At 38.7% G+C, this 25,433-nt stretch overlaps 1 protein-coding gene across 8 annotated transcripts in view; it reads right to left on the bottom strand.

Moving 5' to 3' along the window:
* Window positions 1–25,433, bottom strand: part of GPD2 (glycerol-3-phosphate dehydrogenase 2) — a 186,123-nt gene that overhangs the window by 96,602 nt on the left and 64,088 nt on the right. For 6 of the 8 annotated variants that reach the window (XM_047443963.1, XM_011510977.3, NM_001083112.3 and 3 more), the window contains exon 2: window positions 13,595–13,704. In XM_047443963.1, the coding sequence (XP_047299919.1) occupies window positions 13,595–13,696 (102 nt within the window). In that variant the 5' untranslated portion in view covers window positions 13,697–13,704. Of the gene's footprint in view, window positions 1–13,594; window positions 13,705–16,165; window positions 16,231–19,325; window positions 19,419–25,433 lie in introns of those variants that run through there. The other 2 variants (XM_024452798.2, XM_005246469.3) reach the window with 2 other exon arrangements.

Below are 25,433 nucleotides of genomic sequence, written 5' to 3'. Positions count from 1 at the left end.
GAAGGAAGGGGAGCGGAGGGGAGAGGAGGGAAGGGACGAAGAGAAGGGAGCGAGGGAGGGAGGGAGGGAGGGAGGGAGGAAGGAAGGAAGGAAGGAAGGAAGGAAGGAAGGAAGAAGGAAGGAAAAAACTCTATGTCCTGAGGAAACCCTGGGCCCACCATCATTTATTCATCAAACTTATTCATCCAATCAGTATTTTGTGGAGGCCTTCAAGGATTCTATAGCCCAGGGAACAAAACAAAAAGATAAAGAAGCAATTATAACATTGTTTAAAAGTGGATATAGGCATAGAAAAGAGGCTACAAGAGCCACAGGAGGCACCTCTTATACAGACCCAAGAAGGCTTCTTGGAACATGCAGCTAAATCAAGTAGAGAAAAAGTAATAGGCATTAGCTGGGTGACAAAAACCAGGAAAGGAAGTGGGAAGAGCATGTGTTAAAACTAGAAGTCGCACTAGAATGTTTTCTCTGCTTAGCACACTACTTTCTTAAAAACCAAATCATACATCCAATATTTTTAAATTGCTATATTTCACATCTAAATCAGAATTTCTATCTGAGATAAATCTGCTAAAACTGAGTAGCAGCTGCCATCCTTAGGCAAGGCTTGTGCACTCTTGTTAGTCCAGGATTCCTGCTCACTGGCTTCACACTTGTACCTCATCACTCTATCCCCTGTAGACACATGAGTTCACCAACCTTGGCTTAAAGACAGGAACAACTGCAGCTCTATCAAATTCAGGATCAATTCCCTAATTCAGCCATTGAAGCCAGAAAAGAGGAGAGCCCAACACACAAAACAAACTGCCTTTTTCCTAGCATAATTCCAACCACAGCTCCCAAACACAAAATTTTTATCTTGGTGGAATTGGGAGAATATCTAATATGTAATAATACTTTGATGTTATTTCTATTATATTTAATTATGGGAGAAGTAGATTTTTTTCAACTTGTTTACCAATTTTCATCTATATTTTAGAAAGATAAAATTCCTTCAGCATTCTGATAGCAAACATACAGGTTTTGTCAAGAGACTCACATGAACACCTACAAAGAACTGAAAGCCAAGTTCACAATCTTTGATAGTTTACATCCCAGAGAACGTTCACCCTGAACAGGATTCAGAATGAGATCAGTTTTACTATGTCTGTATATCATTAGACTTGCAAATTAAAAAAAAAAAAATCCTAGACATTTACAACTTCGGGTGAGACCAAAAACAAGATCTAATAATTAGTGTCTATTTCTGAAAGAAGTGCATATTTAAAGACCACAGGCAATTAACAACCAGGTTGTCCTGTAATCATGTACAGTAATAATTGGAGTATAAAGTAGGGTCTCATGCAAATCACCTCAGACTGCAACCGTCACTCTCTCCCATAATATATGAGTCGATCGATGGAATCGTAAGATTTAAGGGAAACTGCTTCCTGCTTTTTGTCACTAAAAAAGACTAACCATATTTATATATTCCTAAAAGGAAAATCCAACAAGCATCTCCTCACAGTGAATCTTAAGATGTTTTAAAGGCCTTTATTCACTTCCTGAATCACTTTGTGATTCTAAAAACTGACATTTTTTTTCCTGCACTTACATGAGAGTAAGCAACATTTCTCAGTGTAAACATATTCGGTGAGGGATTCATGATCACTCTGTAGATAGAGTTGCCAATGGTTACACTGTCATCTCCACTGGGGTCCACACAAAAGAAAAAAAAAGGAGCCCATCCTTCTGGGGTAGCTGAGAATGAAGGTCTAGTTCCCCTTGAAGGTACTGTCCAGATTTTAAGTGACTGTGATTCCTTTGAGAAATCACACAGAAGTTCTTTTAATAGCAATTAGAAAATATCCAAACACTTAAATTATCAAACTTTTTATAGCTAAAAATTGAGGAAAACCCCTTGGCTCTGTCTGAATATATGTACTTCAAATAAGTTAACAACGTAATTGACTATATGAGCTGAGATTTGGGAGATAGGTTTTCAAATATTTTTAAAACAGAATATATGCTTGCTTTTCAACTCTGATGGCTCACTGAAAGTCAGAGAACCTGGAGAGTAAGTCTGAGGTTGGGGTAGATAGAGAAGGAAGAAGAAATAGAACCATTAGTTGCCTAGAAGCTGCCAGCTCACACCCCTAACATTAGCTCCTTAGGTGTCACTCACACTTTCCATAGAAAGGAGGAATCTTTTGACCAGTGAGGAAATCTTTAGTTATCCCTTGAGCAAGTAATTCGAAGAATCAAAATTTGATCCCAGGTTTGACTCCAAATCTCATGTCCTCAGCTCTGCTAGGTCATCTTTGCCTATATGTATAGGTCACTTGGGCCTCTAGATCTGCCTGCCTTTCTGGCATCAGCAGTGCAGAACTGTTGATGGCAGTTAGTGAGATCAGAAGTCCTAGGGCATCTGCCTCACCTAAAGCCAACCACATTGGGCAGTTAAGTTGTCACACAGAATTCTATGAAATAGCACTTTTTTTTTTTAAATTTGAGACAGAGTCTCACCATGTTGCCCAGGCTGGAGTGCAGTGGCATGACCTTAGCTCCAAAGCACAACTTCCACCTCCTGGGTTTGTGCGATTCTCCTGCCTTAGCCTCCCCAGTAGCTGGGATTACAGGCGCCCCCCGCCACCACACCTGGCTAATTTTTGTATTTTTAGTAGAGGTGGGGTTTTGCCACATTGGTCAAGCTGGCCTCAAGCTCCTGACCGCAGGTGATCTGCCCGCCTTGGCATCCTAAAGTGCTGGGATTACAGGCATGAGCCAATGCACCCAGCCAGCACTTTTTCTTAATAAACTCCCTAAAGCATCTGGAAGTAGATCCAGAAGTTAAAGAGGGCTCACTCTTTCCCCATCCCTCTCAGGTGAATAAAATGATGCCCAACTGAGCCAACCAGCCGGTTCCAAGCTTTATAATCTAGATGGCCTTCAGCTACACTTTAACCTATGTTCAAAAATACATTTTGGCCAAATTTATAATGCATACTCATCATTTCTCTGTGAATTATTTCATCAAATATAAATATGATTTTTCTAGTTGGTACTCACTATTGTACAATTAGTTTACAGAAATTCTTTGTTGAAATCACAAATTACAAAACAAATAAAGCAAAATTGGAATCGCCTAACTTCTATTTAAATCATCTATTTCTAAAACTACCTAGAAGATGCTTTCCTAGCATAAACATAATTTAACTATTAAGCTGAAGGATGGGGAATGGGGAGAGGGAAGCTAAAGGACTCTCCCCAAAGCATTTATAGAAAGTTTCCTCCGTCTACAACATCCCTAAAAAGTTTTTAAAGAGGCCTTAAAATGAATAGATAGTTGAAAATGAAATGCAAAGTCAAATCAAAATGAATGTCAATGTTGCTCAGTTAGCAACAGCCTAGCAGCTCACCAGCTGTCAACGTTAATCATAGCTCAGTCGTTGACTCACTGAGTGACCTATAGAAGTACAGTTAACCTCACTGATTTTGTATGCCAGCAACAAAATAGCATCACAAACTCCTCGAAGGCCTGATGTGAGTTATAACTCAAAGATATTGCCATGGCCCCACTTTGGGGGCTAAGTGTTAAATAAAAACCAAAATTATAAGGAAGATGATAGGATGCTCTTCAGAGAACATTTCCAGCTCTGTCTGCATAATTTTAGTGCTTTGATGAAACATGTCTCTGAAAAAACAGTTAACCATATAGAGTAGTTAAGAATAGTTTCAACTGGCCTTATCTAAAATACAGATTATTCAGAATCCTCATCAAGCTTTAGATATCAGACACATTCCCACAAATTTAGTTATATTTCTAAGAGAAAAACAGTTCTTCCAGGAATCCATGCAAAGGGTTCTAAATAAGAGAGGCAAATGAATGATACAGTCTTTGGCATAACCCTAACAATAAAATTCTCATCAAAAGAAATATAGCTCATTTGTCCACCAGATTAGAAACTAAATTCAAGACACATATGTAATGGCTAAATGCTTAACAAAACTTTTTCTTTTCTTCCAGAGAACACTCCCATACAGTGGAGTAGAAATGATCCAGTAGGGTGAGACCCCTATAGCATGGCAGACCCACTAGAATAAAGAGACATAGGTTCCTGGGTAATTGCAGGAAATAGGTTCCCCACCTATCCACACTGAACTGTAATGTGAGCAACAAATAAACGTGCATTATGATAAGCCACTGAGCTTTGAGGATTGGTTATTATACCAATTAGCTTACTTCAATTAATACACAAGTTTGACATGTGCTTAGTTTTACAACCCAAGATTTACAACTCGCCTACATTGCATACAGTCCATACACAATAGAGAATGGACTATGAATGGATGAGGCATGATCATTTACAAAAATAAAAATTAGGAAATAAATCCATACAGACAACACCTCAGAAGGACAGATCATCAAATGCAAGCCCTAGAAAGCCATGGTGCAGAGACATTTCTACCTTCACATTTGACATAACGCTGATGGCTCTTTAAGCAAAACAGGTAGCTTATGACTCAACCATGAGTTCCTTCTTCCACCATCAGAAATGGCCATTTTATTTGATTTTAACATTTAGGTGGGAACTACAGTGTTAGATATCCTATGCAGAATGTATTCACAACAGCCAAGATATGGAAACAACCTAAACAGATGGATGAATAAAGAAATGTAGTATAAACATAAAATGGTATATTATTCAGCCTTAAAGAAGAAGAAGGAAGTCCTGACATTGCTGACAACATGGATAGCCCTGGAGGACATTATGCTAAGTGAAATAAGCCAGACACTGAAAGACAAATACTGTATGATCTCACTTATACATGAGAGTTAAAATAGTCGAACTCATAGAAGCAGAGAGTAAAATAGTGGTAAGCAGAGGGTGGGTGAGCAGATGTTGAACAAGGGGTACAGAGTTTCAGTTATGCTCAAGGAAAGAATTGGGTTTTGTTTTTGTTTGTTTATTTGTTTGTTTTGAGATGCAGTCTCACTGTGTTGCCCAGGCTGGAGTGCAGTGGTGCGATCTCGGCTCACTACAACCTCCACCTCCCAGGTTCAAGCAATTCTCCTGTCTCAGCCTCCTGAGTAGCTGGGATTATAGGCATCCACCACCATGCCCGGCTAATTTTTGTATTTTTAGTAGAGATGGGGCTTTGCCATGTTGGCCAAGCTGGTCTCGAACTTCTGACTTCAGGTGATCCACCTGCCTCAGCCTCCCAAAGTGCTGGGATTACAGGCATGAGCCACCTCAACTGGCCATCAAGGAAAGAATTTTTAAAAAGCAACATTATTCTGCCATCAACAGGTACAGGAAAAAAAACAAAGACTATTTAGGAACATTCGTTTTTATAGCATTTCCTAAGGTTTTTTTTAAAGAGAAAGATTGGGACTGGGCTCACGCCTGTAATCCCGGCTCTTTGGGAGGCCGAGGCGGGCGGATCACCCTAGGTCAGGCGTTCAAGACCAGCCTGGCCAACATGGCGAAACCCCATCTCTACTAAAAAATACAAAAATTAGCCGGCCGTGGTGGCAGGCGACTGTAATCCCAGCTAGTTGGGGGGCTGAGGCAAGAAGAATTGCTTGAACCCGGGAGGCAGAGGTTGCAGTGAGCCGAGATCCCGCCACTGCACTCCAGCCTGGGTGACACAGTGAGACACTGTCTCAAAAAAAAAGTCGGGGAGGGGAGTGGAAAGATTGCTTACAAACCTGTGCAAAATGCCTCTGCAGATAGAATATTGTTTACTCTGGGAGAACAAGAAAGTCTAGTAGCCTGAATTGACTTACAAAGTTAAAAGCAATCTGGTAAAAAAAAAAAAAAAAAAAAAAAAGCAAGCAAGCAAATAAATGTGTCATGTGATAGTTTCAGCTACAGCTACATCAACGTTCAGGAAGAGTTACACTGATTTCAAACCCACAGATCCTCCTTAGTTCAAGAACCTGAAGAATGTTTCTAATTGAGGTTAAATGATCGAAAATGTTAAGGGTGTTCAAAAGATAAACAAATTGTTATATTCAAACAAAGAAACTGCTGAAAAGCAATGCTAAGGTGGAATGTTTGTAATTTAAATTGTTTCTTTATTTTCTTTTTTTCCTGCAGATGCCACAAGATTAAATTGTTTCCTAACTGACATCATATCTTAGATACTATGCTTATGATTTTGATTTCTCTTCAACAAATACTCATTTGAACTTCAAGTTTCTCTACCCTCTACCAGTTTATCTGTTTAGTCATCAATATAAGCAAAAGTGTGCCAACCAAAAGTTCAGCTATTTTTTTTTAAACTCTGATGTTATATCTTTCTTATTATGCCTGACAAGGCTAGGTCTATTTCAAATGTTCATATCCTACCTCAGGGGAAGGGAAAGAAGTAAAGCAGATACTGAAGACCTGCTATGTGCCAGGTACTGTGATCACTGATTTGTATGTATTGACTTAGTGCTTGGCAGAGAAAAAAGCCTGTAAGTAAAGTTACATTATCTTTATTTTATGAAGAAATTGGAATTCTGAAATTTTTTATAACCTACACACGCTACAACAGGTTCACCAAAACCCAGCCACATTCACATAACAGACACATTCAGGAAGCTAAATGTTGCTTTATTTGGGGTCTATTCAAATAAATCCTAAATTAGATCTTATTTTGACTAGAGTTGATCATTCTTTTTTGTTATTTTTGTTTTTTGTTTTTTTTTTGTTTTTTGCTTCTTGTCCAATCTTATCTTTTGCTACTGCCTTTAAAACTTTTGAGTCATTGGTACTACTAATCAAAAAGCACTACTTCGTTAGAGCTCTTACAAATAAGGTATGGAGAGGGAGAGATTGCAATTACAAGTTAAAACAACGTTCTCAAAATTCCTGCTGATTTTAATTATCCATGCATCACTTTGCCTCTCATTAGCATAAATATTTTTCCTCCTGGGTTTTGCTGACACTAACAAAGGTAGTATAGGCTTACCTGTATTTCAACTCACCTAACACATCACTGTTATCAGGGTTTTTTTTCATATTCCCTTAATTAACACATATAACAGAGTGAACTATAGTATTTCCTAAGCCACTCACAAGCATAGAGAATTGATGTCTCTTACAAAGTGAGAGGCTATTTTGCAAATCATGAAGATCCTGTCATCAACACCTATTATAATATCAACATGCTCGAACATCACTGACTTTGGGAAAGAAGAAATTAGTTTAATTGCATTCCATTTCAAGCTACAATGATATATGAAAATTCAGATTTATCCCCCCCAAAAAAAGTTAGAGCTTTTTTCCCTAATATTGCCTGTTTTTAAAGAATGTTTCACCACAGAATTCCAATAAATGGCACTGATATTAATTTATCAAAGGAACTATATTCTTGTAACTTTTTAGCAACATATCAGTTATATAAATCAAGTATGCCATAATTCATATAAGCCTACATAGAAAAAAAGAAAGAAACAGTGGGAAATTCAAGGAACTTATTATAACAGTTAGAGAGGTTAAGTCAACAATTGGTGTTGATATTCTTGCTCATCCTCAGATCCGGAAGCAAGGAGAAAGGAAAACAGAAGAGTGTTGGTACACCTGTCTTTGAGCCATTCTTCTATAACCTAAAATGAAGGATATATCATTTGCTACTAATCCCAAAAGTTTTAACAAAGTATCCGTGAATGCAAGATCTCTAGTGACAAGAGCAACTTGCTTGCTGACTACAACCGCACTTTATATTCATATCCCTTGGGAATCTCATAAGAGGTAACACTTTTTGAAAGCTTCCTATGTTCCAGGAACTCTCCCAGGCTTCACTGCTTTTTAATAAACCTGTGCAGGAAGTACCACTGTTATCCCTATTTCATAGAAGGGAGAAAATGAGGCTGAGAGAATTTAAGAAAATCACCTATAGTCACTCAGCTATAAAGATACAGAACTAGCTGTTCACAATAGCCAAGATATGGAATCAACCTAAATGTCCATCAACAGATGACTGAATAAAGAAAATGTGGTATATGTATACATGATGGAATACTATTCAGTTATTAAAAAGAATGAAATAGGCCGGGCACAATGACTCACGTCTGTGATCCCCAGCACTTTGGGGCCGAGGTGGGTGAACTTGAGCTCAGGAGTTCAAGACCAGCCTGAGCAACATGGCAAGACCCCATCTCTATTTAAAAAAAAAAAAAAGAAAAAGAATGAAATCCTGTCATTTGCAACAACACAGATGAGCCTGGAGGACATTATGTTAAGTGAAATAAGTCAGGCACAGAAAGACAAATACTTCATGTTCTGACTCATATCTAGGAGCTAAAATAAATTGAGCTCATAGAAATAGAGAGTAGAACTGTTGGTATTAAAAGCTGGAAAGGGGAGGGGAGGGGGAAGACAGGGAGAGGTTGGTTAATACACACAAAGTTACAGCTAGATGGAATAAGTTCTAGGGCTTTGTAACACTATATGCTGAATATGGTTAACAATAATTTAGTGTATATTTTCAAAAAGCTACAAGAGAGGATTTTTAATGTTCACAACACAAAGAAATGATCAATGTTTGAGGTAATGGATATGCTAATTACCCTGATTTGATCGTTACATGTTGTATACATGCACAGAAATATCATTCTGCATTCCATAAATATGTACAATTATGACATGTCAAACAAAAATAAAGGAATAAATATGTAAATAAATAAAGGTAAGGAAACATACCTCAAAAAAGAAAAGTACAGCTAGGTGTTAGATGCAGGCAGTCTGCAGAGACTGCTCTAAAGATAACGCTCTTGGCCTTTTTGTTCCGTTGCTTATGAATGGCACACCAATCAATGAGAATTTCTTACTTCCCTGATTCTAAGAAGATAATTCCTCCCATTAAAAAGAGACCTTAGGAGGAATGATCTTCTTAGAATCAGGGTGCTTGTAATCCCAGCTACTTGGGAGGCTGAGGCAGGAGAATCGCTTGAACCCAGGAGGCAGAGGTTGCAATGAGCTGAGATCATGCCCCTGGCACTCCAGCCTGGGCAACAAGAGTGAAACTCCATCTCAGGAAAAAAAAAAAAAAAAAGAGAGAGAGATCTTGATTTTCATATTCTGAAGCTCACTCCTTGCCTATTTATGGTGCAGGGGGGAAAAAAATTTTCACATCCGGGCTTTGAGAAAGCTCTCAGTGGTTCTCAAGTTTTACCTCGGCTCACAAAGCCCAAAGCCACCACACCTTCAGACCAGGTCATGGAAGGAACAAACCTAGAATGTGTTATGTGAGAAAGACCACTCTTCTGACCCGAATAGATTTTTGTCATATCAACCACATCACTGAGGTTAAAGAAAAGCCTACATCATCACATCAGTTTTTCCAGTTAGGACCTAGAAGGTATGAAATAAATGTTAACTTAAAAAAAAAAGTGTTAAACAGTGCCGTTGGGCTATAATGAAAAGAAAAAAGACTAGGGTAGCCCCGTGTGAAATCCCTGTACTCCTTCCCACTCTATTCTTGTTTCATTCTCCCTGGCCACTCCCATCCCAACCTTCCCATCTTCCTGAGGACTCCTCATGGAGCCCTGACTTTAATGCTCTCTACTGCTGTTGCTCAAAAAGGTTTACTTGTTCTAAAAGTATCCCATGACCCCTTTTCCTAATTTAAATTTCCCTCTTCATCTACTCCATTCTCCCACCAGCCTGGAATTAGAAAAAGGAGACTCCTCTATGAAGTGCTACTTCCTTTCAGTAGACCTTAGACTGGATAAGATGACCTCCAAGTTTCATCCAATTAAAAGTGTATTATTAAACCAACCTATACTAAATAGTGAATCACAATCAACTTGATCTAAAAAATCTCCACACCACCACAGAGTGTCTCTGCTTGCTCCATTCCCAGTGGGGTTGGTTTCTTTGAGTGGTAAAATGCTTATATCGCAGTACTAAGACTCTTGTTCCTTGGCATACAGCTGGTCTGGGGAGAAGAAAACTCAAGCTCCCTTTGTGGAAACTGTCACCTGCTTATGGGTGGAAAATAAAGAAAAGGGGACAAGAAAATGAAGAAGAAGCCACTCTAAGACCACGCTAAAAGCCCTCAGATGCTTAACTGAGGAAGGCCTGGAATGTGGATGTTATCTGTGGCCACAAACCTCTGCAGGTGGACACAAGCAAAAGAAGTCAGCCAACCTTCATCTCCTTTCCTCATCAACTTCCTTGGTTGGAATTGAAGATTTAGGCTGCTCAGCTCCAAAAGAATAATAATAATAATTGCCCTCTCCTTAGGCTATAACAACCCTCACATTCCTCTATCTCTTCTAAATCTGACCTGTTTCCCTTAGAAAATAAAAATAATAAACCTCTAGAGTTCACTTGGCTCAACAGTGGGCACTATTCATCATTGATAAACCTAAGTAATAGCATTGTTAATATGCTTGTATGAAGAAAAGCCATACTATGAAGTAGAGTGAGACAAAAGCATCATTGCTACCACCTCTAACCCCTAACCTGCTCCCAGAAACACCAGTCTCCATGGAGGCCTCTATTCTCCCACCTACAATGGCTCTGATTCAGGCAACTGCATTAAAGGTAAGTGAAACCACATCTTATTCAATTTCAATCTGTCTTATGTTTAATTAATTTTTAAAGAATATACAATTGTTTTCTTTACATATATAAGGTAATTTAACTACAGAATTGACTCAAAGGTTTTCAGGAGCTGACCTGGCACCTAAACACTCATAGTACTATCTCATCACCAAAAATGTTTTAACAATGTACCAACTTTTATATTCAATCCATTTGTATTTAGAATATAGCCCCTGCTTTTATTTCAGGGAAGAAGCTTTGTCCTGGGAGTACCAAATGGCACAAGCCAGGGGCCAGGAAGACAGAGCATGCAAGAACACAGCAAAATGTGCCAGAACCAAAGTCAATAGGTGGCTCTCTAGGACATCAGGAACTTGGGGTTTCAAAACTAACTTATTCTTAATAAACGGCAGTTTATCAGTTGGAATCTTCTTAGGAAACTAGAAAAAATACAAAAATACAGTAGGTAAATATACCTGTAACAAGCCAATACTTAAACATCACTCTGCAGAAAAATGGAGCATACCTAGTCACATTTAAGGCCCCAGCTTCTACAAACAAAAGTGTAGCCAATTAATGTATCTCAAAGGGCAGATTTTTTTTTGACTATTGAAGTCAGGAAAATTCCCCCCCGCTAGAATGGCTCTTATTGGCAGATATTTTCTGAGAGAGGACAGCTGAGTTAATGGAGGCCTGTGGTCATTTTATGTCAATGTCTGGAATAGGTTGTTTCCTCTTCTCATTCTTGCTTTTATTTTTTATTATTATTATTATTTTTTGCCAGTCCCTATGGCTACATCGCACCTGCTACCCCCCAAATACATGCTAATGGCAGTATCTTAAAGGGACAGGAATCACCAGAAAAGAAATGCACATAGTTGGATTTCTTATGCAACTCATTGATTGCATATGCCTGTAGTAATCTTTTTCAACAGAACTTGTCAGGTTAAAATTATAAATGACTTCAAGCTGCTGCTATCCATTTCATTTGGCTATTAGGGTGGTCAGGATGTCTAACTCAGGAAAGATAAAATGACAAAATGTCCCAGGAATCAATAGGTCTTTATTTTGCCTTGATTTTACTGAATAAAATCCACCTATAACTTGACTGCTTGGGGCCAGAGTCTCTTCTGTTTATTCTATTCTTTAAGATCAATTATTAGAGAGAAATCAAACCAAAAAAAGGGATAAAACAGTGTTACCTAGGTACAAATTTAAGCTATAAACTCTGAAGTAGAACATGCTTACTGTGGTTAAAAGATATAAACCACATATAAATTTAGCAACAACTCATCATATTAGATATTGTGACCTTTGGCATCGGCATTTTTCAGTATCATTTCAGATAGCACCAGTAAAGATGGCAGAAGTAATCTAATCCCTTAATGCCCATGTCCCAAACAGAAGTGCACTTCTGAAATAGCCTCAGCAGAAGCCACATCTTTTCACACTTGCTTTTAAGGAACCAAGGCAATCTTTTAAAAGAAATAGTACATCAAGCATGATCAATGGATGAGGAAGAGTTTCAATACCAAGTCAGTGAATTAATAATACCATTGTACGTATCAAAACTCCACTATGAACCCAATCAATATGTATAATGATTATGTGTCAATTCAAAAAATAAAAACTGCAACATACATGCATTGAGAGTGATGTCCTCACAGTTCAGAATGCAGAAAAAGACTAACACTAATCAAAAGACTATTGCTAATCAAAAGACTTTCGGTATCACCCATCTTTAGCAAGAATCACATAAAAATTGGCTTGTTGGGTTTTTTAATGATAGGCCAGCATACTAATTCTTCCTAATATGTGATTTTATTTATGCATTTTATTGATTGATTGAGACAGGGTTTCATTTTGTCACCCAGGCTGAAGTACAGTGGCATGATCTCAGCTCACTACAGCCTCCACCTTCCAGGCTCAAGCAGTCCTCCCACCTCAGCCTCCAGAGTAGCTGGGACTACAGATGTACACCATCACGCCCAGCTAATTTTTGTATTTTTTTGTAGAGACAGGGTTTCACCATATTGTCCAGGCTGGTCTCAAACTTCTGGGCTCAAGGGATCTGCCTGCCCTGGCCTCCCAAAGTGCTGGGATTACAGGTTTGAGTCAGTGAACCTGGCCATAATATGTGTTTTTAAAGTGATCCTCATTCAGGATATGGGATTGCAAGCAATGCGCCTGGCTCCACCACCTTGTAGCACAAAGAAACAGAAACAAGAAGTATAAGACAAACCATGGCTTAAAGGCAGCCACAAAAATGTGAAAAATGAATCACTCAGTTACAAATTGTTTGCCAAATTCCTTCACCTTCATCTTTGAGAAAGAAATGCACTACACAGCTAGTATCACAAAATGTCCTAATGACATGGGATGGGGGAACAAGAGACTGATACTAACTACTACGGTGGTTGCCAGCATTTCAAGCCTGAAAAGAACAAAGCCATTCAGCAAAATTATTTCCGGGCATCAGTTTGAACTATGGGAAGTCACAGTTGTAAGGTAAAGAGAAAAAAAAAGAAAACAAACTGAACACTTCATAATATTTGGAAACTTCTTACCAATCTCATTTTCCTGGCTTTCCTTCATTTAAATTTTTACCTAACACAAAGTAATACTTCATAAGTAACTAAACCTTGAAGAAATAAAACCAGGATTCAGTTGGGCCTTTTCTTTTCCATTTCCTTTCTCAGCTGCCTGCCTTCTAATAAGACAAACTTTTGGCAGGAACATAGAAGGTATCCAGACATTTCGATGAATTAGACAAGGAAAGTCTAAATGAAGAAATCCTGGCACTTATAAATGAAGCAGTCTTTTAAAAACCAAAGAGCCAAAACACAGGCTAAATAATGCTTCCTGAAAAAGAAATTCACTTTTTAAAAAAGGAGATACACACAGTTCTCCAGGATCATTAAGGCACTGTTCTAAATTAGTATCTTTCAGATCAAACTGAGAAACTTCACAAGTAATTTCTAAACAAAACCGTTAGTGCACACATTCCCCATAGACAGCTCTTTAGCAGATTTAAGTTGCATACTGTAATCAACACAAGTACAGTTACTTACTTGTTTCCTTCTGTAATGAGCAAACTGAGAAAGTCCTAAAACAGTTGCAAGAGCACCTCCTCCAACAAGAATCGTCCCTTTCACTGCCTTTTGAAATGCCATTTCTTAGCCTACAAAGAAAAATAAGAAACAAAAAGAAGTTAATTGGGATAGTTATCGCATAACCATCCCAATAATAAGACACTGTGTAGATTATGAAACCATGTTAAACTAGAAAAGAAAACATAAAATAAGGAAATTACTAACAAACCAATGTGTATACTGCAACTCAAAATAAATAGCCAAAAAATTCTAGACAAGGGAATTGATCACATAAAAGTTACTTTCTGGTTCGACAGGAATTAAAGAAAGAAAAGCAAATTAAGAGATAACTGAGGATATTTAAACAGTATAAAGTCAAAAGAACTGTGAAAAGAAATGTCATTGGGTATTTAACAAAACTGCATGCTATACTTGTAAATTTGCTCAACACCTAATCCTCTCCTCAAGGAGAACCAGCAGAAAGAAGTCTTGGGTCACTCAACAAGACAATAAACATCAGCTTGCTTCAGGTTCTTTGGCAAGTGTTTAATTCAAATTGTGGTAAGACTCCCTTCCCAAGTTTTTCCCTTTCTAATGAAGTTTTCACTACAGCCAAAAGCCAGCAGTGTTATATTTCTATTATTGAAAGAGTCGGCTGGGCGTGGTGGCTCACACTTGTAATCCCAGCACTTTGGGAGGCCGTGGTGGTGGATGCCTGTGATCCCAGCTACTCGGGAGGCTGAGGCAGGAGAATCGCCTGAACCCAGGAGGCAGAGGTTGCAGTGAGCCGAGATCATGCCACTGCACTCCAACCTGGGTGACAGAGCTAGACTCCGTCTCAAAAAAAAAGAGTATACTTTACAGATAAGAAGTCAGAGGTATTATGCCTTAAGACTTTCACAAACTGACCAATTTAACCTGCTGTAATTCCTTTCATTAGGGGAACTTAACAGAAAAAGTTTTCTTCTAGCCAGAGTTGCATGACACCAAAATTTTAAGAGAAAACCCTCCAGATCAAGCACTCACTGTATATTTGTGCTCTCTGTATTTATATTTTTTTCTTTCTCTCTTTTTGTAGAGACTGAGTCTGGCTCTGTCACCCAGGCCAGAGTGCAGTGGCTCAATCATAGCAAACTATAAAATCAAACTCCTGGGCAAGTGATTCTCCCAAGTAGCTGATACTACCAAGTGCATGCCGCCATGCATGGCTATTTTTTTTTCTTTCTTTCTTCTTCTTTTTTTTTTTTCTGTAGAGACAAGGTCTTGCTATGTTGCCCAAACTGGACTCAAGCAATCTCCTACCTTGGCTTCCCAAAGTGCTAGGATTACAAACATGAGCCACCCCACACTCTGCTCCACTGAATATTTCTCAAGTTCTGCATTGTCTTAGCTCTTAACTTTCTTTCCTCTCACTTGTTTTCCACTACTGGACTGATAATGGAATTTTCTAAAGTTTTGATGAGGACTTAAAAATTATTCTTTAACTCTTTCAGAAACTAAGAAGATTGCATAAAAATGAAAATTCCATCAAAAATCCTTTTGTCCGCTTTTACTGTTAAACGTAAAAAGATAATCCTGTGTGATCAACTAAAAAAAATTCTAGAGTTGAGTAATTTGACCTGCCTAAGACTTTACATTCACAAAAGCAGGGAAACAGGGAAGCCACTACCCTATTTCCTTGTAGGGGTGGAGCACTGGCCTGTCTGGACAACACACGTTACATTCTACTGATAGCTCACAACTCAAGAAAACAATTTATTATGAAGGTAGTTTTAACTTAGGATACTAAAAAAACAGTATCTCAACATAAATTATGATACGGTTAAATATTTGGGTCCATACTGAATAAACTGTATCTATTATCATACTATCCTAAATAAAGAATTGCAATATAGTTGATAACTATGATCCTATAGAAAACTCATTTTAGGATACTATAAATTATATACTGATATGTGGTGGCATTTTTAAAATTTTTTTCTTCTGATCTCATTCTTCCTGACAAACTCCTAAATTCTAAACTTTATCTTTTTAATTAAGATTCTTCCCAGGATTAGAGCCCAGGAGTTTGAGCTTGTAGTGAGCTGCAATTGTGCCACTGCACTCCAGCCTGGGAGACAGAACAAGACTCTGTCTCTAAAAAAAATTTTAATGATTCTTACTAGGAAAATATTTCACAAGCATATGTACTCTGCTGCTGGAGGTCTCTTCTTTACTGTCCCTTTGCTATATCAACCATCTTCTCTTTCCCAAATTATGCAGGAAAGTTGGTGTATGCTGGCTAGGGGCCACCATTCATCATTCAGTCAACCCTAGGCAAAACCTTATATCCTAGGTTGCTGGGATAGTAAAAACCCTAACTTAGCAGGTACCCATTTGTCATAGCTCACTATCACCAATCAATGTACTGTTGTAAACATTCACATGGGTGCCTATCACACAACAATGTAAGCCCTAGCAGCCAAGAGATAGCATGCTATCTCAAGGCTAACTGGGTTCCTCTGACAACTGGAGACAGAGAATAAAGTCCTAGTTCTATTTACTATTTACCTTAAACAACGCACATGCCTGACTCATAGCAGTGTGGTGGTCCCTAGGATATGAGTGTTGTGACTGATTGACTTATCATTGCTTCTGTCTTGTTGATAATGTCATTGTTGACCTCACAAAGGATACCACACATCAACATGGCCAACTCAGGGAAGTTATATACAACACAGTCAATGAAAATGTTTCATTCTCAGAGGTGTTCATTCAGCCAGTTAAGTTTGAAGCTAGTATTTCCAAATGTGTGGGTCCCTATGTTCCCTGCCTACCTGATAGTATTGTTTTAATTTGATTTGTCAGAGACCAAAACTTGCAAAGGAAGATATTTTCATGCATTTTCCCAATGAGCCACTAATACTATCAAAAAACTACATTCTCATGTCATCTTGCAGAGTTAGCAATAATATCAACTATAATCAATAAAGAGTTTTCCTTTTTCCATAATTTAAAAAAATAATGTATGCTTGAGGGCTCATTATTTCTACTGTGATCAAATCCTTCTGTACGGTCATCTGGCTAGCTCAAAGTCAAAGGCAAGAATCAGCCAGTTTCATTTGACTTTCCTAAGATTATCATTATGAGTGTTGTTATTGTTATGAATGTTACAATAATAATCACCACCATTTATTATTTACTAGGTAACAGGTACTGTGCTTTTAATTCTTTATACACATCAGCTCATTTCACCCTCACAACATCTAATTTCATAAAAGGGGCAGTGGTAGCTCAGAGGAAATGGGGGATTTCCCCAAAGTCACTGCCTACTAAGTGAGAAAACAAGACTGAGTTTATGTTCTTGAGCCCTGGTGGTTCTGTCCTGCCTTTGGTCTCAAAAGGCAACTTCTCCCCAAAAGCTATACCATATTTTGTTGTCACTCCCAAAAGAAGGCCCTATTCTCAAAGTCACCCAAATGTTCAGTCCCTTGGCATTTGGGTTAATCTCCAAGGCAATGAAGAAGTCTCTAGCAAAGTATCTACTAGTAATCTTCTGCCAGGTAATGTAAGACCTTTGTTTTAGGGCCGGGCACGGTGGCTCACATCTGTAATCCCAGCACTTTGGGAGGCTGAGGTGGGTAGATCATTTGAGGTCAGGAGTTCAAGACCAGCCTGGCCAACATGCTGAAACCTTGTCTCTACTAAAAATACAAAAATTAGCCAGGCAGTAGTGGCATGCGCCTGTAATCCCAGCTACTCGGGAGCCTGAGGCAAGAGAATCCCTTGAGCCTCGGAGGCGGAGACTGCAGTGAGCCGAGACTGCGCCACTGCACTCCAGTCTGGGTGACAGAGTAAGACCCTGTCTCAAAAAATAAAAAATTTAAAAAAGAACTTTGTTTTAATGCTGAAAGAATGAAATTTAGAACTATATAAACCAAATGCTGTGGACAACATGTACCCATTTACCATTGTAAGGAGAAACGTTTTCACAATGATTACAAACAAAAAAAAAAGATTATTTCCTTCTAAGTAACAGCTTTACTAGAAAACTAGCAAAGAAGGGGACCAAAAATATACACAAATCTTTACTAACTTCTGCAATAAATGTTCAAGGAAACCAGAGGTGAAAAAATTTTAAAAAATAGAATTAGCTTATTTATCATAGCTTCAAATCCATGTTTTATAGCCTTTTAATTAAATCACATATATGCTTACTCAGGACCAGCTGCTGCATTGACATAGACCAGAGCTAGCTCTAATTCTTGCAAGGAGAACACCAGCTCAGTTGGCAAAACCTAAACAAATGGTGCTCAACTAAATATATCTGTGAGTTTATCAACTAACTGCCCACAAGCAATTAATCTATCTGTAGGATTAAATATCAAAGTGTGTCTTGTAACTCTGCACTCTGTCTTATAACTAGTTGTGCTATACTGAGTGTTATAGTCTGATAGAAAAAAAAAGCAAGGTGCTATATCATTTTAATGTTGCAAGAAATTGACTCTGACTAAAAGAATTAAAGAAGGCTTCAGTGAAGACAGGATTTTGGAGAAGGGTCTTGAAGGGGAAAAAATTTGGAGGGGAGTGAGTAGGGAACGTTATAGAGAAAGACAATTGGTGGAGAAAGGGGAGCATCATGGTACGTTCTAGGCATACAAATAGTTATCTCGTTTGGCTGGAGATGATGTACAGCTAGAAATGGTGTTTAAAAAGAAGTCCAGAGGGAAGAGAGAGGAAGACTGTGTACACGTGAAGTAAAATATTTCTATGATATCCTGTTGGCAACGGGGAGTAGAGGCTGTAGATTAAGGAAGTAAGATGTTTTGTCTAACGTTCTGTAAAGACTGTTCAAGTAGATTTTTAGTGTTGAAGCTTACGAAGACAGAGAGACCAATTAGAGGGCAATGAAATAGATCCCATGTGAGAGAAGAGCCTGGTTTAAGGCAACATTAAAGAGTGCAAATCTAGAGACTGATGTTTTGCACAACTGTCTAAGGACAGCACTCAATTAGACAGCATGACAAGACCTGACAACCGATTACAGGAGGCAGCAGGAAGAGACTGAACACAATAAGTGGTTTTAGTTTGGGCAGCTGGAAAATGACCCCAAGATTTCAATATTAAGATCTAGAAAGAGAAGCAGGTTTAAGGAAGAAGAGAAGCTCAGCTTGCAACTAAGAAAATTTGAGATCTTGACGGAACATCTACTCAGAAAACAGCACAGATGAATATTTGGGTCTAAAACTCCCAAGAGTAATAGGTACTTGGGAAAATTTTGCCTAGAACTGACAGATGTAATTGCTACACAACAAAATGTACTTACTGCTAGCAAACAAAAACTAAATTTGCCACTTCTCAAAGTTTGCTGACCTTTGTTTGTACCTGACTGCTGCAACTTATCTGGCTCAGATGAATTCTTAGATGTCCTTGTAGGGCTCCCATTATAGACAGTGACTTTTAACAAAGAACAACTCCTCACATCCTATTTCATGTAAGTCCCTGAGTGCATCCACCACTTCTACCTCCTCCCATTCATAGGCAAGGCAACTATGCACAAGCAAATTTATTCCAGAACCAGATCGCACTTCCTGGCCTCTGAAATCTCTTTAAAAAGTACTCACTCTCCTACTCATCTCCCTGTCTTCTCTCTTCCAGAAGCCTTACTTATCAAAATACAAATTTAGCATAAGTAAGAATCATGCAAATGGGCTGGACCAGTGGCTTATACCTGTAATCCCAGCAATTTGGGAGGCCAAGGCAGGAGGATTCTTTGATATCAGGAGTTCAAGACCAGCTTGGGCAACAAAGCAAGACTCCATCTCTATTAAAGAAAATTTAAAAATTAGCTGGGCATGGTGGCGCACACCTCTAGTTTCAGCTATTCAAGAGGCCAAAGTGGGAGGAATCATGTGTGCCCAGGAGGTCAAGGCTTCAATGAGCCATGATCATACCACTGCACTCCAGCCTGGGCGACAGAGCAAAACCCTGTCTTAAAAAAAAAAGAAAAAGAAAAAGAAAAAGATTCCATGCAAATACATTTGTCACTCCTCTGTGGAATAAGCCCTGGGTCCCTTTGTCAGAGGCGTGTGAACCAGAGGAACTCCATCTTGAATAGGAGCTGGGTAAAATAAGCCACCCCTTGTTTAGCATATAATCAAGAAATAACCATAAAAATGGGCAACCAGCAGCCCTGTGTGTATGGAGTAGTCATTCTTTTATTCCTTCACTTTCACTTTATGGACTCACCCTTAACTCTTGTGTGAGATCCAAGAACCCTCTCTAGGCATCTGGATGGGGACCCCCTTCCTGTAACACCTTCATGTTTACAAAAACTCTCCTATCTTTCTGGTTTCTTATATAGAAACCTCAATTACCTTTCTAATCCCCATGCTCTCCATTAGTTTAGAACTTCTCAGGGTTTTGATTCTTATGCCAGCATAGAAGTAAGCATATTTCTCTCCATCCCTTACAAGCATGACCAATGGAGGGGCGGAGAGTACAGCTCAAAGATCAATTACAGAAGAGTAATTTCAACGACCAGCCTTGCTGTCCTCGGGGCATGCATTCTCCAGCAAGACATAAAGGCATCCCATATTGCACTCCCATGTTTATTGCAGCACTAGTCACAGTAGCCAAGATTTTCAATCAACCTAAGTGTCCATCAACAGACAAATGGATAACAAAAATGTGGTACATATACACAATGAAGTAGTATTCAGCCATAAAAAAGAATGAGATCAGGCCGGGCACAGTGGCTCACACCTGTAATCCTAGCACTTTGGGATGCCAAGGTGGGCAGATCACTTGAGTTCCGAAGTTCGAAACCAGCCTGGCCAACATGGTGAAACTCCGTCTCTACTAAAAATACAAAAAAATTAGCCAGGCGTGGTGGTGGGTGCCTGTAATCCCAGATACTCAGGAGGCTGAGACAGGAGGAAAATCACGTGAACCTGGGAGGTGGAGGTTGCAGTGAGCTGAGATCACGCCACTGCACTCCAGCCTGGGCGACAGAGCGAGAGACTCCGTCTCAAAAAAGAAAAGAATGAGATCATTTCATTTGCAACAACACGGGTAAAACTGGAGGACATCATGTTAAGTGAAATAAATAAGGCACAGAAGGACAAATTTTGCATATTCTCACTCATTTGTGGGAGCTAAAAATAAAAACAAATGAACTCATGGAGACAGAGAGTCAGAGAGTAGAGGATGGCTACCAAAGGTTGGAGATGGTAGTGAGGTTGGGGTGGGGATGGTTAATGAGTATAAAAACATAGTTAGAATGAATAAGATCTGGAAGTTGATAGAACAGGGTGACTGCAGTCAACAATAACTTACTGTACATTTAAAAATAACTAAGAGAATGTTCGTAACACAAAGAAATAAATGCTTAAGGTAATGGATACCCATTTACCCTGATATTACTGTTACTCATTGCATGCCTGTAGCAAATTATCTCATGTACCCAAAAATATGTATACATACTATGTACCCAGAAAAATTAAAAAGAAAAAAGAAATTAAAAATAAATAAAAGCGATCCATGCTCTTCCAATCACCTACACTGAGAAATCCAGATGTACAAGGCATTTCAAACATTAAATAAAAACCCCAAGATGTAACCTAGAGGTAGCCCTTTAATCACTAAGCCCTTTACCTAAGCCTTTTGTGGTCCAAAGGTAGCAAATGCTCCTTACACTTCATCTGTGCAGCCACCTGCTCCTGTAGCTGTGCATGCAAAACCCACTCCTTCAACTATTTTGAGTCGTGTCACACTGTCACACCCATGGAAGGCACAACTCAGAGGGCCAGGCCTCACACTCGCATACAAATCCAGTGACTTATTGAAGAAAAGTGCATGAGTCTTACAAAATAAGCATATAGAACCTCATCAGAGAAGGTCCTAGCAAACGGGTCTGTAATCATGGATAGCTTGACAGCAAGTCCACAGTAAAACAGAAGAAGGAGTGAGCTCAAAAGCCTCTTCCCTCCCAGCAGCACCCTTTTAACTATAAAAGTCAAGATCACTGGGTGGCTTGAACTAGATGTGTTTTAGCAAGCAAACCTTTTATTATTCCAATTAATGTGATAACAAATGTTTTGTACAATTCCCTTGAAGGAGGTATCTCATAGTTCAGACACACCAAACATATGCTGATACAGTGCTTACTCAGACAAGTAACAATCAAAGCATACCATGTACTACTCTTTCCCCAAGTTTTACTTTACTGTGGGGATCATGATTAGTACTCTGCCTGCAAACGCATTCCCCCCAGCCAAGCAGAGAAGGACTTACACACCTGTATCTTACACATGTGATTCCTACAGAAACACACAGAGAGCCCTCAAGTGTACTTTTTGAAAGCTATCAGACCTAAATGAACAAAACAGTCAAACAGAAGAGGCACATTAGCCTGTTCTCTGGAAACAGAGAGGAGGTCTATTCTGTAAACTGAAGGTGAATTCTCCTCTTTTGTTGTTGTTGCTTTTAAAAAGGATTTAGGCCAAGACTGGACAGGAAATTGACCCAAGGGTTCTTCACAAAAGACAATCCCTATGGAAAGAAGTGAATGTATCAAGTCCTAAGAAAACAGAAGACACTTTTATCCTTCCGTCACCTTCTTTAGCCTTTTCTCTATTATATCAAAAGCAAAAACACACAAACACAACAATAACAACCTATAGTTGTAAAGAATATATACACTGAACAGGATATCAAACAACAAACAAAAAGGCTTTTCCGAAGTCACTGAGAAAAGCATTATCCTGATAACGCAAGATAAATCAAAAAACCAAGTAAAAGTCAACAGAAATGTGTGAAACATAATCCTCAGGTTCTAAATACACAAATTTTTGGACTGTGGTGGAAGAAGCTAAAGCAACACACTCACACATTGCTGGGAAGGCATCCAGACTCTAGCTTTGTCCCTGACTTCCACACCCTATCAAAAGGCCAGCCTGCTTCCAAGAAGGGCAGGTTCTTTCACTTCCAATCCATTTATTTCCCCAGGCAATTACTGCCAGAAGGGCCCACCCCAGCCCAAGAGAAAGTAAACAATTTTAGCAGAGGAAGAGTATTTCCATAAAGAAGAATGAGAAAAAAAAAAAATCATGAAACAAAGAGAAAGCGAAAGAAAATAAACACTATATTTATATCAATTCACATAGTGTAAAGCTAGAAAATTCTGAGTCTCCCTGGGTCACCTTTATGTCAATTATATCATTTTAGAAGCAAACCAACAGTGAGAACGAGGTTGGCCCAGGACCACTTCTCAGCCTCAAAGGAGGGCAGGAGCCTGGAAGCTTGACAGGAGAAGCTGGCTAAGAAACGAGTTGAGCTAGTTTCAGGGGCAGAGTTCAAAAAATGCAAGTAAAAGGTACAAAAGAAGGAGAAAATAAGGTCAATAACTATTTTAAGTGAGCCAGTTAAAAGTCTCTGTTTATAAAAAATTTGTTGCAAACATTATTACATGGGATTTCTGATGTGTGATGGGGGGTTAAGTTTAATAATGTCATAACTGTTAATCGAGCATTTATTTCACAAAGTCCTCTAAAACAAAAAATGCATTGAAAGGGAGGGAGCCTTAGAGGAACACAAGGATACACGTTTGCACTCTAGTAGTGATGCATTATTTAAGACCCGATTTTTTACAAAATATATGCCATTTCCAAGGCAATTGCCATATAACATACTTATGCTTTCTACCATTTCTAAAATACACACTGGAACTATAGTCACAAATTTGACCCTTTTTCTTTATTTCATGAGGTTCACTATAGAATTATAAGAAATCAATGAAGCTCATTATATTCATTAAATGCAAATAACCACAGCTTAATTCATAATAGAATAGTTTCTATTATGTTTGCTTTCCATACAATTGCTATAAAAGTCATAAAGAACTATAGTTAGTGCACGCAAGTGAATTTGTATTCCATTTTAAATTCATTTTAAAAGCAAAGTTAATATATACTCTGTATCACTCCAGATATATTCACGGATTTGTGTTTAAAGTCGTACAATCCTATCTTTAATATTCCATTAAAATCTATCTCTGCCTTCTTTGCTTACCATATACATAATTGAGGGTAACCCTGAGAGCCCCAAAATAAAATGTCCCTCCCAAGTGAAAACTTGAAGCATTCCTTCACAAAAATGCCAACCCCTTGTAAAAACACAAGTCAGGTTAAGGAGCTGAGTAGATAACATGCCTAGTACAGAATTAAACAAACTTGCATTTATATCAACTAACAAGAAATGGTTGACTTAGCATGAAAAGGAGATAGCACAACAGGGAGAAAAACTTTAAATCTGCCTTGAGGAGGCAGGAATGTTATCAATGAAACACATTCATTGATAACATTCAAAAGAAGTTCATTAGTCAAACAGACCATACTAGTCCTGTGCTTCTTTCAGTCTTTCCGCCCCTTTACTAACCCTTTATTGGGTTAAGATAATGTTTGACATTCCTTTGGCAGCATAAACGCTCTTTTTACATTTTACATGCTGTTACAGAATCTACTTCAGTAATCAAAACAAGAAAAAGGCCTGGAGTGGTGGGTGGCTAACATCTATAATCCCAGACTCAGAGAAACCCAGGCAGGAGGACCCCTTGAGGCCAGGAGTTCAAGACCAACCTGGGAAGCGAGACCCTGTCTCTACAGAAAAAATCTTTTTAATTAGCTGGGCATGATGGCACATGCCTGTAGTACCAGTTACTCAGGAGACTGAAGTGGGAGGATTGTTTGAACCCAGGAATTCAAGGCTGCAGTGAGCTATGAGGGCACCACTGCACTCCAGCACAGGTGATAGAATGAGATCCTGTCTCAAAAAAAAAAAAAAAAAAGAAAGAAAGAAAGAAAGAAAAGAAAAGAAAAAGTCCTTTACCTTGCTATAAAATAAGCTGCAAATCAAAGAGTTTTAAATGTCTGTCTTAAGATTAAAACATATCAAGCCTTCCCTCAAAATTTATTAAAACTAACAAAGCCTTACAGAGTAACTACAATCATGGCTGTTGAATACATACTGTAAAATGTTTTGTAAGAAAACAAAGTCCAGGCCGGGCACGGTGGCTCATGCCTGTAATCCCAGCACTCTGGGAGGCCGTGGCGGGTGGATCACTTGAGGTCAGGAGTTCGAGACCAGCCTGGCCAACATGGTGAAGCCCCATCTCTACTAAAACTACAAAAATTAGCCAGGCGTTGTGATGGGTGCCTGTAGTCCCAGCTACTCAGGAGGCTGAGGCAGGAGAATCACTTGAACCCAGGAGGTGGAGGCTTTAGTGAGCCAAGATCATGCCACTGCACACCAGCCTGGGCAACAAAGCAAGACTCCATCTCAAAAAAAAAAAGAAAAGAAAATGTACCAATTCTTTCAAAAGTTCCTGTTGCAACTGCATTATATGCCGTTAGAAATATATTTGGGGAAGTATCTGTTGAAGATGGTTTAAGAAATCCTGAGCTTATTTTTTTAAATTATGACTGAATTTTTAATAATAATTAGTTATAGCACAATAACTTCAGTTATTGTTCAGTTCATTGTAAAAGAAAGTTCTCAATTTGAATACAGCTCTATTATAAACATCACTACACATATATTTAATGTATAAGTGGTGACTGAGAGTTATAAGAGATCAAGAAGTGCGCTGTGGTGGGAAGACCAGTCACTCTGTTTCCTTAACAGAGAGAAGATCCCTAGGAAAAAAGCTGACTAGTTTTTCCATCCTGCAGTCTTTTTTCTCCTGTAACCTGTTGAAATTTACATTTAAAATTTACTCCTCTGTACATCTAATAATCCACAAGTATAAATGGAACTACAACAAAGAGCCAAAGTACAGATA

The sequence above is a fragment of the Homo sapiens genome, chromosome 2, assembly GCF_000001405.40.
Source record: "Homo sapiens chromosome 2, GRCh38.p14 Primary Assembly".
Classification (NCBI taxonomy): Eukaryota; Metazoa; Chordata; class Mammalia; order Primates; family Hominidae; genus Homo; species Homo sapiens.
The sequence above is the reverse complement of the archived record's forward strand: the minus strand, read 5'-3'. Positions and strand labels throughout refer to the sequence as shown.